Source organism: Homo sapiens, chromosome 6, assembly GCF_000001405.40.
Source record: "Homo sapiens chromosome 6, GRCh38.p14 Primary Assembly".
Classification (NCBI taxonomy): Eukaryota; Metazoa; Chordata; class Mammalia; order Primates; family Hominidae; genus Homo; species Homo sapiens.
Window position 1 is genome coordinate 140637221 of NC_000006.12, and position 16054 is coordinate 140653274.

Here is a 16054-nt window from a genome sequence, read left to right on the forward strand (position 1 = left end):
ATTTGGCTCCACACTTCATTCCCGGGAGCTGTAAAGCTGTTCTTGCCTTTGAAAGCTGCTTGGCTGAGTTGAGAACAAGCAATAGTGATGATGATGGTGTGATTAGCATCATTTTGCATTTAACACAACAGCTTTCTGCATAGTATTTACAGTACTTAGAAACTATTATCATGTATACAAGTATCTTCCCGTATTGATTATTTGTCTTTTTCTTCTCCTTATCATCTTCTTTCAACTTTCTATCAGTGTGGATTCAATCCAATGAAAATTTAGTATGCATCTATAACGCCTTGTTAGGCACTGGGAATAGAAAACCACTTATTTATGTATTTTTATATTTCCTGTACAAATTCAGTCTTGTAAGATACACACATTGTAACATATAAATTTTATTCCAAAATATGGATTTTCTTTTGTTTTTTCTTTATCCTTGTGCAAATGAATAATAAAGGCAAAGAAAAAGAGGATTTTTATTTATTTAAATTTTTTTTTTTTTTTTGATATGAAGTCTCGCTGTGTCGCCCAGGCTGGAGTGCAGTGGCGCGATCTCGGCTCACTGTAAGCTCTGCCTCCCGGGTTCACGCCATTCTCCTGCCTCAGCCTCCCGAGTAGCTGGGAATACAGGCGCCCGCCACCACGCCCAGCTAATTTTTTTGTATTTTTAGTAGAGACGGGTTTTCACCTTGTTAGCCAGGATGGTCTCGATCTCCTGACCTTGTGATCTGCCTGCCTCGGCCTCCCAAAGTGCTAGGATTACAGACGTGAGCCACCGCATCCGGCCTATTTATTTAAATTTTTATGAGTATATAGTAGGTGCATATATTTGGGGATACAAGAGATATTTTGATACAGGCACACAATGTGTAATCATCACAGAGAGGATTTTTTTTTTTTGAGGGACAGGAGAGTTAAAGGTGTAAACTCTAGGTTGGTTTCTGTCAATTCCTCTCTAGTCATTCAATCATTTTAAAAGACTCAAAAAGTAGGATCTACTTTAAATCATGTAAATTGGCCCCAAATATTTGATCTAGTACAAATTTAGCATATAACAAATAAATAAGTAAAGCCCTTAAATCTAACCAAAGCAGTAGGAAATAGGTTACCAAAACTGTTTCTCCTGCAATAGTTGGAGTAATTTGGTCATGCAAACTTAGCCAAGTTAGTTAAATTTCTTAAAATTCTGTCCCTGTTTTATAAAATGAAAGAATACTATTTGGGCTGACATGATCTTCTGCTTATTAAAGATAAGTTACAGACCACAGTGTATAGCACATTGCAAGACCTCAAGAAATTAACATGATACAGTATGTGAATAATGCAAAGAAAACCAACAAATCAAAATATTCCTTTTGAAATTGGACATAAATTGGTTTCTGCTCAGCATTTTTTGTTGGAAGACCCTCTTATGATGCTTCCAAATCTGTATTTTTTTCTTTTTTTGAATATGAAATTTTTATAAACAAGAATAACATATTTAATTCATTTATTGATTTTTCCATATATTTCATGCATAATAGAACGTGGATGTGCTTAATAGTATAAAAGAAAATTAGGTTACAAAGAGAACAGCTGAAGAAGAATTAAGTAAATTGCCTAACATCACACTAAAAAATAATACAGAAGAGGAGAGAAAAAAATAACAGAGAAGAATGATTGAAAAGAATAGAGGACGAGAATATAGGTTCTAATACCTTGTCAGCTGGTCAACATTAGTTCTCAGATTAGAACAACACTTTCACTGAAAGATGAAGGAAAATTATTCTTCTCTGTATAATAAAGTCCTTGAGGGTGGCTTCACAACAAATTAATGTAACGTTAACATGTAATGTATCTAAAAATACCACTCCATGTTTCTAGTTTCTCCCTGGGGACTGTTCGTGTGCTAACGCTCCTCTTCTTCACATATCTCTCCTCTCCCCACTTGTTGGCCAGGCATTCTCATATCTCATTTCAACAACTAGTATATGACACCATATAGAATCCAGGACATGATACATGATGTCAGGCCAAACCTCTGACCTTCAGAAAGTCAAAGCTGTTAGGCAAAAAGACTTCCCAGGATCAAACCTCTCTGGATTCAAATACATACATGATTATTATACAATTTTCAAGTCTTGGACATGTCTTTCTATATCAGTTTCCCTATAGGAATATTACCAGCAGATTAACATTAATTTCTAATTGCATTTGTTTTCCTGTCCAGACTCTGAAACTGAAATTAGATTTTTATACAATCCAAGCCAACCTGATATAATACACTCTTTGCATTAAGAGTTTTACTTGACTGTTATTATACCATGCTTTACATGACAATGAGAAGTTAATTTTACTCCATTGTGATGTGCTTTTAGGCTCTGAACTTACTACATAATGAGGTACAGTTTCTCCTTCACCTCAATGTACCGACCTGCTGAGCAATATCCTGGATATCTCCAGGGCACCTGTCAAGAATGCTTTATTTCATATTCCACCCCCAAAACAAACATACACCAAAAATATCATTCAAACTTAAGAAATGTTCATGATACTGGAGAGGCATCACTAGGTTGTCTGGGAAAGGAGAAAAAGATAATTATAACAATTACTATATACCCTCTTCAAGCATTATGATATGTTGGTCATTTTGTAAGATTCGTTGGATATTAAATCCTTTCTTACAAATCGGTTAAGAGGTCTTTTAATCCCTATTAATCTAAGTTTTACAGTGATAGGAATTGTATGACTTATAATAAATGAGGGATCAGAACAAGAATTCGGTTCAATAGTTAAAATAATTTTTAATTGATAGAAGGCACTAATGAATAACCAGATGACTGAAAGTTTCTGGCGTATCTGGAGATACCCAAAATAAGATCCTTGTTAATGCACTTAACTGTGTCCCCCCTCAAAAAGCCATATGTTGAATCCCTAAACCACAGTAATTTAGAATATGATGACATTTGGAGGGAGGGCCCTAAAAGAGGTGATTAAATTAAAATGAAGCTATTAGAGTGGGGCCTAATCCAATCCTCCGAAGAAACCACCCCTGCCAACTCCTTGATCTTGGACTTCTAGTACCCCAAAATGTAAAAGATATATTTCTGTTGTTAAATTACCCAGTCTGTGGTACTCTGTTTTGGCAATCCTAGCCATAGTAAATCAATTATTAATATGAGCTTCTTTATCAATACCTACATGAGTTGTTCCCATTAATTACCTCATTCCTCAAACTGTAATGCAGACAATATGCCAAATAGCATACTTATTAATTGATAAATCTAATGTCTTGTTTCCAAACTTTGATGTCTCTACATCGTTTTGCATTGTCGATGATCCCTTATATTTCTATTCCCTTTGCTTCAAGACACAATTTACTTCCTGTTTTCCAGCTTTCTCCCTGACTTCTTACTAATGGATTCCTCTCTTCACCCATTACAGGTGGGTATTTCTGGGATATTGTACTCAGCTTCTTTGTCTCCATGTTCTCACTAGAGGAAATTTTTATACACGCATATTTACAACTGTCATCTAAATGCTGAAAAACTCCAAGTTTTGTCTCCATCCTACAGTCATTTGAATCTGATAAAGTACTTTATTATTATGTAATATTTAAACATATGATATTTATGTGGTAGACATAGATTATTATTAGTCATAATAATAAAACAAATATCCATGAATTCATGCTCCTTCCTAAGATAAAATATTACCATGCTTTTCTCCAATCCCACCTTCCTACTTTCCTATTGGGAAATAACCACTACCCTAGATTTTGCATTTGCATGCATCATTACCATGACACTTGAAAATATTTTTTTAACCTATTTAGATAATTCTAAATAAAATATCAATTTGGTTTTTTGTTTGTAATTATGGTGTCATATTACATGTGGTCTTGTGTGTCTTATTTTTTCATTCCACAGCGTCGTTTCTAAGATGCAACAATGTTGCACATAACTGCAGTTTGCTCTTTTTACTGCATTCTAATTTTTTCCCGAACACCTGAACTACATATCTAGAAGAAACAAAACCCAAAAATGTTACCATCAAGCCTGCTGCTCTTAAATCTAGAACCTACACAATATCAAAAAATATAATATTATCCTTAATATTTTTTCTCTTTCAATATATTTTCAATCAGTCATAAATCTGGATGATTTAATCTATATGATGTTGTCCTCTCTTCACCCCTTCCAATGCCAGGTGTGAGTCCAAGGCATTAGCAGCTTGTGTCTGACCATTGCATTCACTTTCTAACTCTTCTCCATGCAAAACTTTCCCCTCTTCCCCAAAAATCCAGGTCACTCTCAATCTTAACTTTTGATCATTATTTGCCTTTGCCTGCAGGGCACACTTCAAACTACCTTATATGGTATTCAAGATTTTTAATATCTTTTAGGTGTCATAGTGAGAAATGCTACTTCCTCTTCTACTTCTTTGTTTTGAGAACCACATATTCAATTTGTGGGAAAAAAAATGGCAGCACACATTGGTTCCTGGTTCAAAGCACATACCACATCATTAACAACACCACTCCACTAAATTATTAGTTTAATCTCTTATCTCTGAAGATATATATGACTGACCAACAATCCATTTTACATTCTATAAGGCTGGCTATATTGGGGATCTGGAGTAAATAGTGAGACTAGAGAATCCCATGAGCATTACTGACTACATTGCCTTATTCTTTTGTGATTAAATTAGCTTATTAGTAAGAAATCCCATGACAGAATATCATTATAGTGAAGGAGATATTCAAGGAAACCACTCTTTGTGTTTCTGTCAATAACTCCATGGACAGGAAGAAAGATTATGATCCAGAATAAGTGTTTATTTCAATGAAGACAAATTGCTGCTCATAGAGGGTTCCGATGTAATCAACCCATCATGTGAAGGAGGAGGGTGTCTCCTGGAGTAGGTTTTGTGTTAGAAGGTCAGAGTTGATTTTGCACTGACCAAGCAGTGACTGTATTCTGGGATATCAAAGTGAAAAGTTTATAATGTGAAACTAAATACAACCTGTTATCAGTCTACCATGGCTACTTTGTTCATATAAGCCTACTTACAAGTATAATGCTGCTTTCTGCCAAAACCCAACAGACATTGCTGCAATTCACTTACTGGGGCATAAACAGGCTCCATACAACATTCAGCACAACCTCAGGCACTTCTGCTGCATTGGATCTGCTGGGTTTTCAAAGGTACATGATAGAGTCACTCACATTACTGCTGGAACAAGCTGGACACCTATCATATTCTCTGAATTTCACTGAAACTTGGAAGAATATGTACTAGTTTGAGTCTCTTACTTAGTGGTAAGAACTATTAGGTGCAGTGTCCTGTGCTTATAATGAGGAGTATCCTCTAATGACTCAGAAACTGAATTCTAGAGAGGTCAGACACAAAATAGTACCTGCTGTGTCATTCTCTATGTATAAAGTTCAAAAACTGGCAAACCAAGTGGTGGTTGAAATTAGGATGTGGTTGGCGTTGAGGAGGATGAGAATTTGTAAATGGGAAGGTCCATAAAAGAGCTTTGGGATTCACATAATTTTCTATTTTTTTATTTGTGTAATTGGCACATGGGTGTGTTCACTTTCTGATAAATACATCAAGTAGTTTACTTACGATTTGTGCTTTCCTTTAAATATGTTATACTTTGATTTTTAAAAATTGCTTAAAAAACTAGATAGCTCTCATGGAAGGGCTAGAAAAGAACAAGCTCCCCAATGCTCCCCAAGATAAGCATGTATTAACAATATTCCAAGATACTCACACAGGCTGGCTTAAGGGGAACTAATTTTCCAATTCCTGGAAAATCTCACAATCATCCTGCAAAAACAACTCTTTGGAGAAATGTCCGGCATAGCTTCTATTGCCTCCCATTGGTAGACTGGGGCCCTGCACAGAACTTCACTTGAAAATCAATCACATGTGAGTTACCTGACTTGTAAAACCTAGGTCACATGGCTTTAGCTGCAAAAGAGGCTTTGAAATATATGTTGAACAATCTTTTGTTCATGTTTATTTACTCTGTGTATTAGTCTGTTCTCACGCTGCTAATAATGATATACCCAAGACTAAGTAATTTATAAAGGAAAGAGGTTTAATTGTCTCAGTTCAGCATGGATGGGGAGGCCTCACAATCATGGCAGAAGGTGAAGGAGAAGCAAAGCCACATCGTACTTCCTGGGTTCAATGGGGGTTCAGGCATTGGGTAAATACACGTGTTCCAAATGAAAGAAATTGGCCAAAACAAAGGGGCTACAGGCTCCATGTGAGTCCAAAATCCAATAAGGCAGCCATTAAACCTTAAAGTTCCAAAATGATCTCCTTTGACTCCATGTCTCACATCCAGGTCCCACTGATGCAAGACGTGGGTTCCCATGGCCTTGGGAAGCTCCACTCCTGTGGCTTTGCAGGGTACAGCCCCCTCCCAGCTGCTTTCATGGCTGTCATTGTCAATGGCTTTTCCAGATGCATGGTGCAAGCTGTCAGTGGATCTACCATTCTGGAGTCTGGAGGACAGTGGCCCTCTTTTCACAGCTCAATTAGGCAGTGTCCCAGTGGGGACTCTATGTGGGGGCTCCCACCCCACATTTCCCTTCCACACTGCCCTAGCAGAGGTTCTCCATGAGGGCACCACCCCTGCAGCAAACTTCTGCCTGGATATCCAGGCGTTTCCATACCTCCTCTGAAATCTAGGTGGAGGTTCCCAAACCTCAATTCTTGACTTCTGTGCACCAGCAGGCTCAACATCACATGGAAGCTGCCAAGGCTTGGGGCTTGCACCTTCCAAAAATACTGCCCCAGCTGTACCTCGGCCCCTTTTGGGCATGGCTAGAGTGGCTGGGATGCAGGACACCAAGTCCCTAGCCTGCATGCAACAAGGGGGCCCTGGGCCCAGCCCAGGAACCAATTATTTTTCCCCCTAGGCTTCCAGGTCTGTGATGGAAGAGGCTGCGGCATGGTTTCTGACATGCCATGGAGACATTTTCCCCATTGTCTTGGTGACTAACAATGGGCTTCTTGTTACTTATGCAAATTTCTGTAGCTGGCTTGAATTTCTGCCTAGAAAATGGATTTTTCTATTCAATTGCATTGTTATGCTGCAAATTTCCCCAAGTTTTATGCTCTGCTTCCTCTTGAAAGCCTTGCTGCTAAGAAATTTCACCAGATACCCTAAATCATCTCTCTCAAGTTCAAAGTTCCACAGACCTCTAAAGCAGAAGCAAAATGTGGCCAGTCTCTGCATAGCAAGAGTGAACTTTGCTCCAGTACCCAACAAGTTCTTCGTCTCCATCTGAGACACACTTAGACTAGATTTTACTGTCCATATCACCATCAGCATTCTGGTTGAAACCATTCAACAAGTCTCTATGAAGTTACAAACTTTCCCACATCTTCTGTCTTCTGAGCCCTCCAAGTCTGTAGGAAGTTTCAAATTTTCCCACATTTTCGTCTTCTTCTGAGCCCTCCAAATTGTTCCAACCTCTTCCTGTTACACAATTCCAAAGTTGCTTCCACATTTTCAGGTATCTTTACAGCAGCATCTCACTCTACCAGTAACAATTTACTTTATTAGTCTGTTCTCATTTTGCTAATAAAGACATACCAAAGACTGGGCAATTTTTAAAGGAAAGAAGTTTAATTGATTCACAGTCCAGCATGGCTGGGGAGGCCTCACAATCATGGCAGAAGGTAAAGGAGGAGTAAGGCATGTCTTACATGGTGGCAGGCAAGAGAGCATGTGCAGGGGGACTCCCCTTTATAAAACCATCAGATCTTATGAGACTTATTCACTACCATGAGAACAGCACAGGAAAGACCCACCCCCATGATTCTATTATCTTCCACTGGGTCCCTCCTGCAACACATGGAAATTATGGGAGCTACAATTCCAGGTGACATTTTGGTGGGGACAAATCCAACCACATCATTCTGCTACATTAAGCAGTCCTTTTACCAAGAAACAATGCTTTATTCCTGTCTGTTATCTCCATGTTTATTATCACACCTAGCTTTCATTTCATAATCATTTACTAAGTATCTCCTATCTATAAGTCACTGAGGTAGCTATGAAAAGAAACTCATGAATGAAAAGAAATTCCAACACATGGAGTCTTATATTCTAGATGCAGAGTGTTAAATTACATTAAATTTGGTCCAAAGCTGTCTCCATAGGTAGCAAACTGCAATTGAACTTAGTATGTTGTATTAGTCTGTTTCATACTGCTATAAAGATACTACCTGAGACTGGGTAATTTATAAACAAGGAGGTTTAATTGACTTAGAGTTCTAGCATGGCCTGGGAGGCCTCGGAAAACTTACAATCATGGTGTAAGGTGAAGAAGAAGCAAGTATCTTCTTCACAAGGGGCCAGGAAAGAGAGGAGGTGAAGAGAAAAGTGCCCCGTATAAAACCATCAGATCTCATGAGAACTCACTCACTATCACAAGAGCAGCGTAGGAAAAACAGTCCCCATGATCCTATCCCCTCCCACATGGTCCCTCCCTTGATGCATGGGGATTACAATTTGAGATGAGATTTGGGTGGGGACACAGGGCCAAACCATTTCATTCCGCCCATGGCTCCTCCAAATTTCATGTCCTCACATTTTAAAACACAATCATGTTGTGATGGTTAATACTGAGTGTGAACTAGATTGGATTGAAGGATGCAAAGTATTGATGCTGGATGTATCTGTGAGGGTGTTGCCAGGCAGAAAAATGCGAAAAGGCAAGACTGGCCTAGCCTCCAAGACTACACCTTTCTCCCATGCTAGATGCTTCTTTCCCTCAAACATCAGACTCCATCAGACTCCAATTCTTCAGTTTTGAGATTTGGACTAGCTCTCCTTGCTGCTCAAACTTGCAGACAGTCTATTGTGGGACCTTGTGATCATGTAAGTTAATACTTAATAACTCATATATATATATATGATATATATCATATATATATCATATATATCATATATATTATATATCTATATATATCATATATATATGATATATCATATATATATCATATATATATGATATATCATATGAGTTCTGGCTCTCTAGGGAACCCTGGCTAATACAGATTTTGGTACCAGGAGTGGCTTGAGAGGAATAGAATATTAAGGATGGAGTTCTTTCATTGGTTTTGGGGTTTCTGGAGTTGGGTGCTTAATATGATTAGACCCAAAAATGCTAAGGACTCTACTTCTAATAGTATGGAGAACACTGATATTCCTTGGCATGAACTGTTTAGAGAGTTATGCAAAACAAATGCAATTGACACTCCTGATTCACCGCTCACAAGAGGCAAGGAGTTTAGTGACTCTATACATAATACCATTGACCATATGTGGAGAACCAAGGAACATAATGAAGCTGGTTAATTGCTCCTAAGTTCAGTGAACAAAGTGATGAAAGAAAACAACCAACTCAGGGATCTTGTCTCCTGGCTTCAGAAGCAGATACTGAGTCTCAAATCTGCTAAGATTGCCCTGAGTGAGAGTCTTATCTCCTAGAGTGAAAGAGCTGAAATTGTGGAAAAACAGACACAAGGTCTTATCATGTGAGTGGCTGACCTCCAATGAAAGTGCATGCATAGCCTCGTCAGGTGTCTACTGTTAAAGTGAGGGCATTGATTGGAAAAGAATGGGACCCTGTAACTTGGAATGGGGAAGTGTGAGAGGACTCTGATGAAGCCAGGGACATGGATGAAGCTTTTTTCCAGATGGAACAGCTTCCCCATCACCAGTAGTGGCACCCCTGACATCCTTGTTTGCTTCTAGACCTATAACTAGACTAAAGTCCCGCTGGGCCCCTAGAGGTCAGGTACAGAGTGTGACCCATGAGGAGGCGCACTACACTTAAAAAGAACTGCTTTAATTCTGTAACATATATAAACAGAAATCTGGAGTACAGGCATGGGAATGAATATTAAAGGTTGAGTTAATGGTAGAAGGAACACAGAGTTGGATTAGGCTGAATATATTGATTTGGGCCCACTAAGTAGGGACTCTGTATTTAATGTTGCAGCTTGGGAGTTAAAAAAAGGTTCTAATAGTTTATTTGCTTGGTTAGCTAAAATACGGATTAAAAGATGGCCCACTGTGAGTGAGCTGGAAATGCCTGATCTCCCTTGGTTTAATGTAGAGGAAGGGATGAGAAGGCTTAGGGAGATTGGGATGGTGAAGTGGATTAGTCACTTTAGACCTACTCATCCCAGCTGGGAGGGTCCAGAAGATATACCCTTGACCAATGCCTTGTAAAATAGATTTGTGAGGGCATCTTTGAAGAGCCCTGTAATTGCTCTACTCTGTATGTCAGATCTAACAGTGGGAACCACAGTCACTCAACTACAAAATTTAAATATGATGAGAATATTTGGATCCTGAGGCAGCAGGGGCCAAGTGGTGGAACTCAGCCATCAAAGGCAAGGTGGGCATAGCTATTGTAATGGACAGCAGATACAAAGCAGCAATCATAATAGTCTGACTCATGTAGAGCTCTAGCATTGGCTAATTAATCATGGTGTTCCTAGAAGTAAAATTGATAGGAAGCCTACTGCATTCCTACTTAATTTATACAAGCAGAAAAACTTCTAGGTCAAATGGAAAAAAGGCTAATTTGTACTATGAAAACAGAGAATCACAGCCCCTCAATCAATTTCTAGACTTGAGCCAATTTACAGACCCAGAACCCCTTAAATGAAAGGAGGCAGGGTCCTCTTGAGGAAGGACCCCACTACATAACCAATAATTTATGCAGTAAAACTTTTTCCCATCCTTTGCCAATGAGACCTCTGGCCTTTTACCAGGGAATCTGCGCATTGGAAAAAGGGAAATGATAATACATTTTGGGGACCACTGGACATTGGCTCTGAGCTGATGTTGATTCCAGGGTACCCAAAACGTTATTGTGGTCCTACAGTTAAAGTAAGGGCTTATGGAGGTCAGGTAATTAATGGAGTTTTAGCTCAGGTCCAAGTTACAGTGGGTCAGTGGGTCCTTGGACTCATCCTGTGGTCATTTCCCCAGTGCCAGAATGCATAATTGGCGTAAACATACTTAGCAGCTGGCAGAAAACCCACATTAGCACCCTGACCGGTAGGGTGAGGGCTATTAGGGTGGGAAAGGCCAAACGGAAGCCATAAGAGCTGCCTCTACCTAGAAAAATAGTAAATCAAAAACAATATTGTGTCCCTGGGGGAACTGCAGAGATTAGTGCCACCATCAAGGACTTGAAAGATGCAGGAGTGGTCTTCCCACCACATCCCCATTCAACTCTCCTATTTGACCTGTGCAGAAGACAGATGGATCTTGGATAATGACAGTGGATTATCATAAGCTCAACCAAGTGGTGACTCCAATTGCAGCTGCTGTACCAGACGTGGTTTCCTTGCTTGAGCAAATTAATACATCTCCTGGTACCTGGTATGCAGCCATTGACTTGGCAAATGCCTTTTTCTCCATTCCTGTCCATAAGGCCCAGCAGAAGCCATTTGCCTTCTGCTGCCAAGGCCAGCAATATACCTTTACTGTCCTACCTCAGGGATATATCAACTCTCCAGGTTTGTGTCATAATCTTATTCTGAGAGACATTGATTGCTTTTCGCTTCCACGAGATATCACACTGGTCCATTACATTGATGACATTATGCTGATTGGATCCAGTGAGCAAGAAGTAGCAAACACACTGAACTTATTGGTGAGACATTTGCATACCAGAGGATGGGAAATAAATCTGACTAAAATTCAGGGACCTTCGACCTCAGTAAAATTTCTAGGGGTCTGTGGTATGGGGCCTGTTGAGATATTCCTTCTAAGATGAAGGATAAGTTGCTGCATTTGGCCCCTGCTACAACCAAGAAAGAGGCACAACATCTAGTGGGCCTATTTGGATTTTGGAGACAACACATTCCTCATTTGGGTGTGTTAATCCAGCCTATTTATCAAGTTACTTGAAAAGCTGCCAGTTTTGAGTGGGGTCCAGAACAGGAGAAGGCTCTACAACAGGTCCAGGCTGCCATGCAAGCTTCTCTGTCACTTGGGCCATATGACCCCGCAGATCCAATGATGCTTGAGGTGTCAGTGGCAGATAGGGTTGCTGTTTGGTGCCTTTGGTAGGCCCCCATAGGTGAATCAGAGCAGAGGCCTCTAGGATTTTGGAGCAAGGACCTGCCATCTTCTGCAGATAACTACTCTCCTTTTGAGAGACAGCTCTTGGCCTGTTACTGGACTTTGGTGAAAACGGAAAGTTTGACTATGGGTCATCAGGTAACCATGTGACCTGAACTGCATATTATGAACTGGGTCCTTTCTGACCCATCTAGTTATAAAGTGGGTCTTGCACAGCAGCATCCCATCATCAAATGGAAGTGGTATATATATGCGACCAGGCTTGAACAGGTCCTGAAGGCACAAATAAGTTACATGAGGAAGTGGCTCAAATGCCCATGGTCTCCACTCCTACCACCCTGCCTTCTCTCTCTCAGCCTGCACCGATGGCCTTATGGGGAATTCCCTATGATTAGATGACAGAGGAAGAGAAAAATAGGGCCTGATTCACAGATGGTTCTGCAAGATATGCAGGTACCACCCGAAAGTGGAGAGCTGAGGCACTACAGCCCCTTTCTAGGACATCCCTGAAGGACAGCAGTGAAGGGAAATCTTCCCAGTGGGCAGAACTTTGAGCAGTGCACCTGGTTGTGTACTTTGCATGTAAGGAGAAATGGTCAGATGTGTGATTATATACTGTTTCATGGGCCGTAGCCAGTGGTTTGGCTGGATGGCCAAAGACTTGGAAGAAGCACGATTAGAAAATTGGTGACAAAGAAATTTGGGGAAAAGGTATATAAATGGACCTCTCTGAGTGGTCCAAAACCACTCAGATATTTGTATCCCATGTAATTTCTCACCAATGGGGACCTCAGCAGAGGAAAATTTTACTAATTAAGTGTATAGGATGACCTGTTCTGTGGACACCACTCAGCCTATTTCCCCAGCCACCCTGTCATCACCCAATGGGGCCATGAACAAAGTGGCCATGGTGGCAGGGATGGAAGTTGTGCATGGACTCAGCAACATGGACTTCAGTTCACCAAGGCTGACCTCGTGTGGCCACTGCTGAGTACCCATGCTTGCTGGTTGTGCTCTCTGAACCTCTCCTGGTGTGCCCCATTCACAATTATTGTGCCCCATTGACAATTATTGTGCCCCATTCACAAATTATTCTTTGCTCAAATAAACTCTGTCAAATTTAATTTGTCTAAAATGTTTCTTTTAAGAGGAGACACATATCCAAATAACTAATTAAAATAATATGAAAGATGTCAAAATAAAAGTATAAATAAAGGTCTGTGGAACACAAACAGAAAGCCTTAAGTAGCCTGAGGTCAAGGAAGGTGTTACAAAGATACTTAATAAATATTTGCAGTAAGTACATGAAATTTGTCAAAATATTTAACTTCTTTAGTTTGCAGAGAAATCTACCACTCATTTTAGGTAAAATGTAAAAGAAATCAAATGAAGAAGAATATTATACTTGGCAGCTATAAATCAATACAATTACCTGCTAGATATACATTTGGTTTCTTGCTTATTGGTTTACGGTTTGAACTGAATCACTTCTACATTTCTTAAACCATGTAAATATTAAAAATATGAGAAGATATACAAGGTTTTATTCATATGGGTATTCTGTTTATGTATACCTTCAATCTGTGTGCATATGTATATGTACATCTACATATATCTGCCAATTTATCTATAACATATTTCAGAGTGCATTGATGTGAATATACTGAGATCAAGTGGTCTTTCTGTAAAACAGATTCTGTTTCTGGTAGTGATGGGCCAGGTGATTGAGGCCAACCCTCCTACTGAGGACAACTCAAAGAGCTGGGTGAAATTATTTAAAAAATCAGCTTAAGAGCCTTGAAGAGATTGAGGAATCTCCAGGCCAAAATCGTAGAAAAGAGGAGATCACCCAAAATTTTTTGTACTTTAAAGGCATTTGCCAATCAGTAAGAAAAAACTGTGAAGTTGAAATACAATTCTATTGGCCTCAGTGAATGGAAAGCTCAAGCTTTATGAAAGTTATGAAATTGATTTATAAAGGAAATAAGTTTATAATATAACCTTTACAACATAAACTTATGAAATACAATAATTTTAATTATACAAGAAATTAAGCTCAGGCCTTAAACTGCATCCCCAAAGGGATAAACCTTTAAAGTAAAGAAATACCTGAAGTAAATCACCTATGAATTTACTGCTCACCTTGGTTTTGCATCACTTGGAGAATGAAGGAAATCCGAAGCCTTCAATATGGATCAAAGTGAGACAGGTCGTATTTCCTATCCCCTAAAAGAAACAAAAAAATTGTCTTCCTTGAAGGAGTAGTGAATTTTTTAACCTTATTTTACTTCTACTATATATTTTAAAATAAAATAAATGAACATCTAACAAGCAAAAGTAACCAGGCTTTTATGGAAACAAGAAACCATGAGGTTAAGATGTGGAAAATATAACAATGTAAACAAATTGTTTCAAAAAATTACATCTTGAATGTATCAAACAGGGCATACAAAACAATTGTCATTCCCATAGTTGACAAAATAAAATAAAATCTTGAAAAAAAATTTTAAGGAACACAGAGTGCAGATTTCAAAAGGAACCAAATAGAAATTTTAGTATTGAAAAGTAAAATAGCAGCAGTTATAAACTCAATGGATCAATGTCACCCAAGATTAGAAATAGCTAAGGAGAGAAATAAGGAGCTAAATAATAGGTCAGTGAGAATTATCCTTTGGCCTCTGAAGCTCACAGAGGATGAAAAGTACAGAAGTACAGTTAAGAGAAACAGAACACTCAGTGAGAAATTCTAATTTCAATGACGACAAGTTGCTGATCTCTCCTTGATGGAGGGAAGAGTCATATACAATCAACCTGCCATATAAGTTAAATTAATCAAATCATCTAAATTAATTAAGTCAATTAAATCAATTAAACATACATAGTTGATTTAAATGAAGAAAGAGAGAAAATGGAGCAGTAAAATATTAGCAGCATTTCAAGAATTAAGTCTGTGGATGTTACAGATTTTTAAAAGATATCAATTGATACACTAAAAATGCCTAAGATTTCTAAGAAGGAATACAACTAGAAGCTGTATTAGAAAAAATACAACTAGAAGCTGTATTAGAAAAAATACAACTAGAAGCTGTATTAGAAAAAATACAACTAGAAGCTGTATTAGAAAAAATACAACTAGAAGCTGTATTAGAAAAAATACAACTAGAAGCTGTATTAGAAAAAATACAACTAGAAGCTGTATTAGAAAAAATACAACTAGAAGCTGTATTAGAAAAAATACAACTAGAAGCTGTATTAGAAAAAATACAACTAGAAGTATCACAGTCAAACTACAAAAAAAAAAGTAGAGAGAAATATCTTGAAAGCATCTCGAGAGAAACAAATAAAGATTTTTACAAAGGCTGGTTGACTTTTCTATATCAACAATGGAAACTAGAAGACAAAGCATAGTATCAATATGATGAAAAAAATTATCTTTTATGCAGAATTCTATACCCATCAAGACATACTAAGGAAGATGGCTAAATGAAGATTGTTTTTTAGTCCAAAAAATACCCAAACCTAAAAACATTGTTATGCAGAAGGAAAAATATCTTATTTATTCATTTTTTAGGCTTACTACTTATTTTACTAATATTTTAAGAAAAAACAAAAATGGGTACTCAAAATAAGAGTAAATCCAAATCAACTTAGAATGTATACAATAATATTAATAAATAATATTTTCTAAAGTCTTAAAATAGATGGAATTAAAGTATATGGCACCAATATGATATAAGTTGGAAGGGCAGTAAAATAAGTTTTATTCACATTTATGTAAGTTCCTCGGACTGTTGGAGATGAGGCTAAAATATGGGTTAACATCATATTTTTATAAGCTAATGATGTTTGATGCAATTTCTAGGATAACTACTAAAGGGATAGAAACGGAATGTATACTGTCCAAACAAATATAAGTTAAAACTGGGACAATAACACACA

General features: G+C 38.2%; 2 long non-coding RNA genes across 7 annotated transcripts in view; one reads left to right on the top strand and one right to left on the bottom strand.

The window, feature by feature from the left end:
* LOC105378027 (uncharacterized) overlaps positions 1 to 16054 on the top strand; it is a 246946-nt gene that overhangs the window by 98731 nt on the left and 132161 nt on the right. The gene's annotated exons all lie outside the window — the stretch shown is intronic.
* LOC105378026 (uncharacterized) overlaps positions 1 to 16054 on the bottom strand; it is a 55690-nt gene that overhangs the window by 28952 nt on the left and 10684 nt on the right. For both annotated transcript variants that reach the window (XR_943070.3, XR_001744389.2), the window contains one exon: positions 14258 to 14341. This is a non-coding gene — a long non-coding RNA (uncharacterized LOC105378026). The remainder of the gene's footprint in view (positions 1 to 14257; positions 14342 to 16054) is intronic.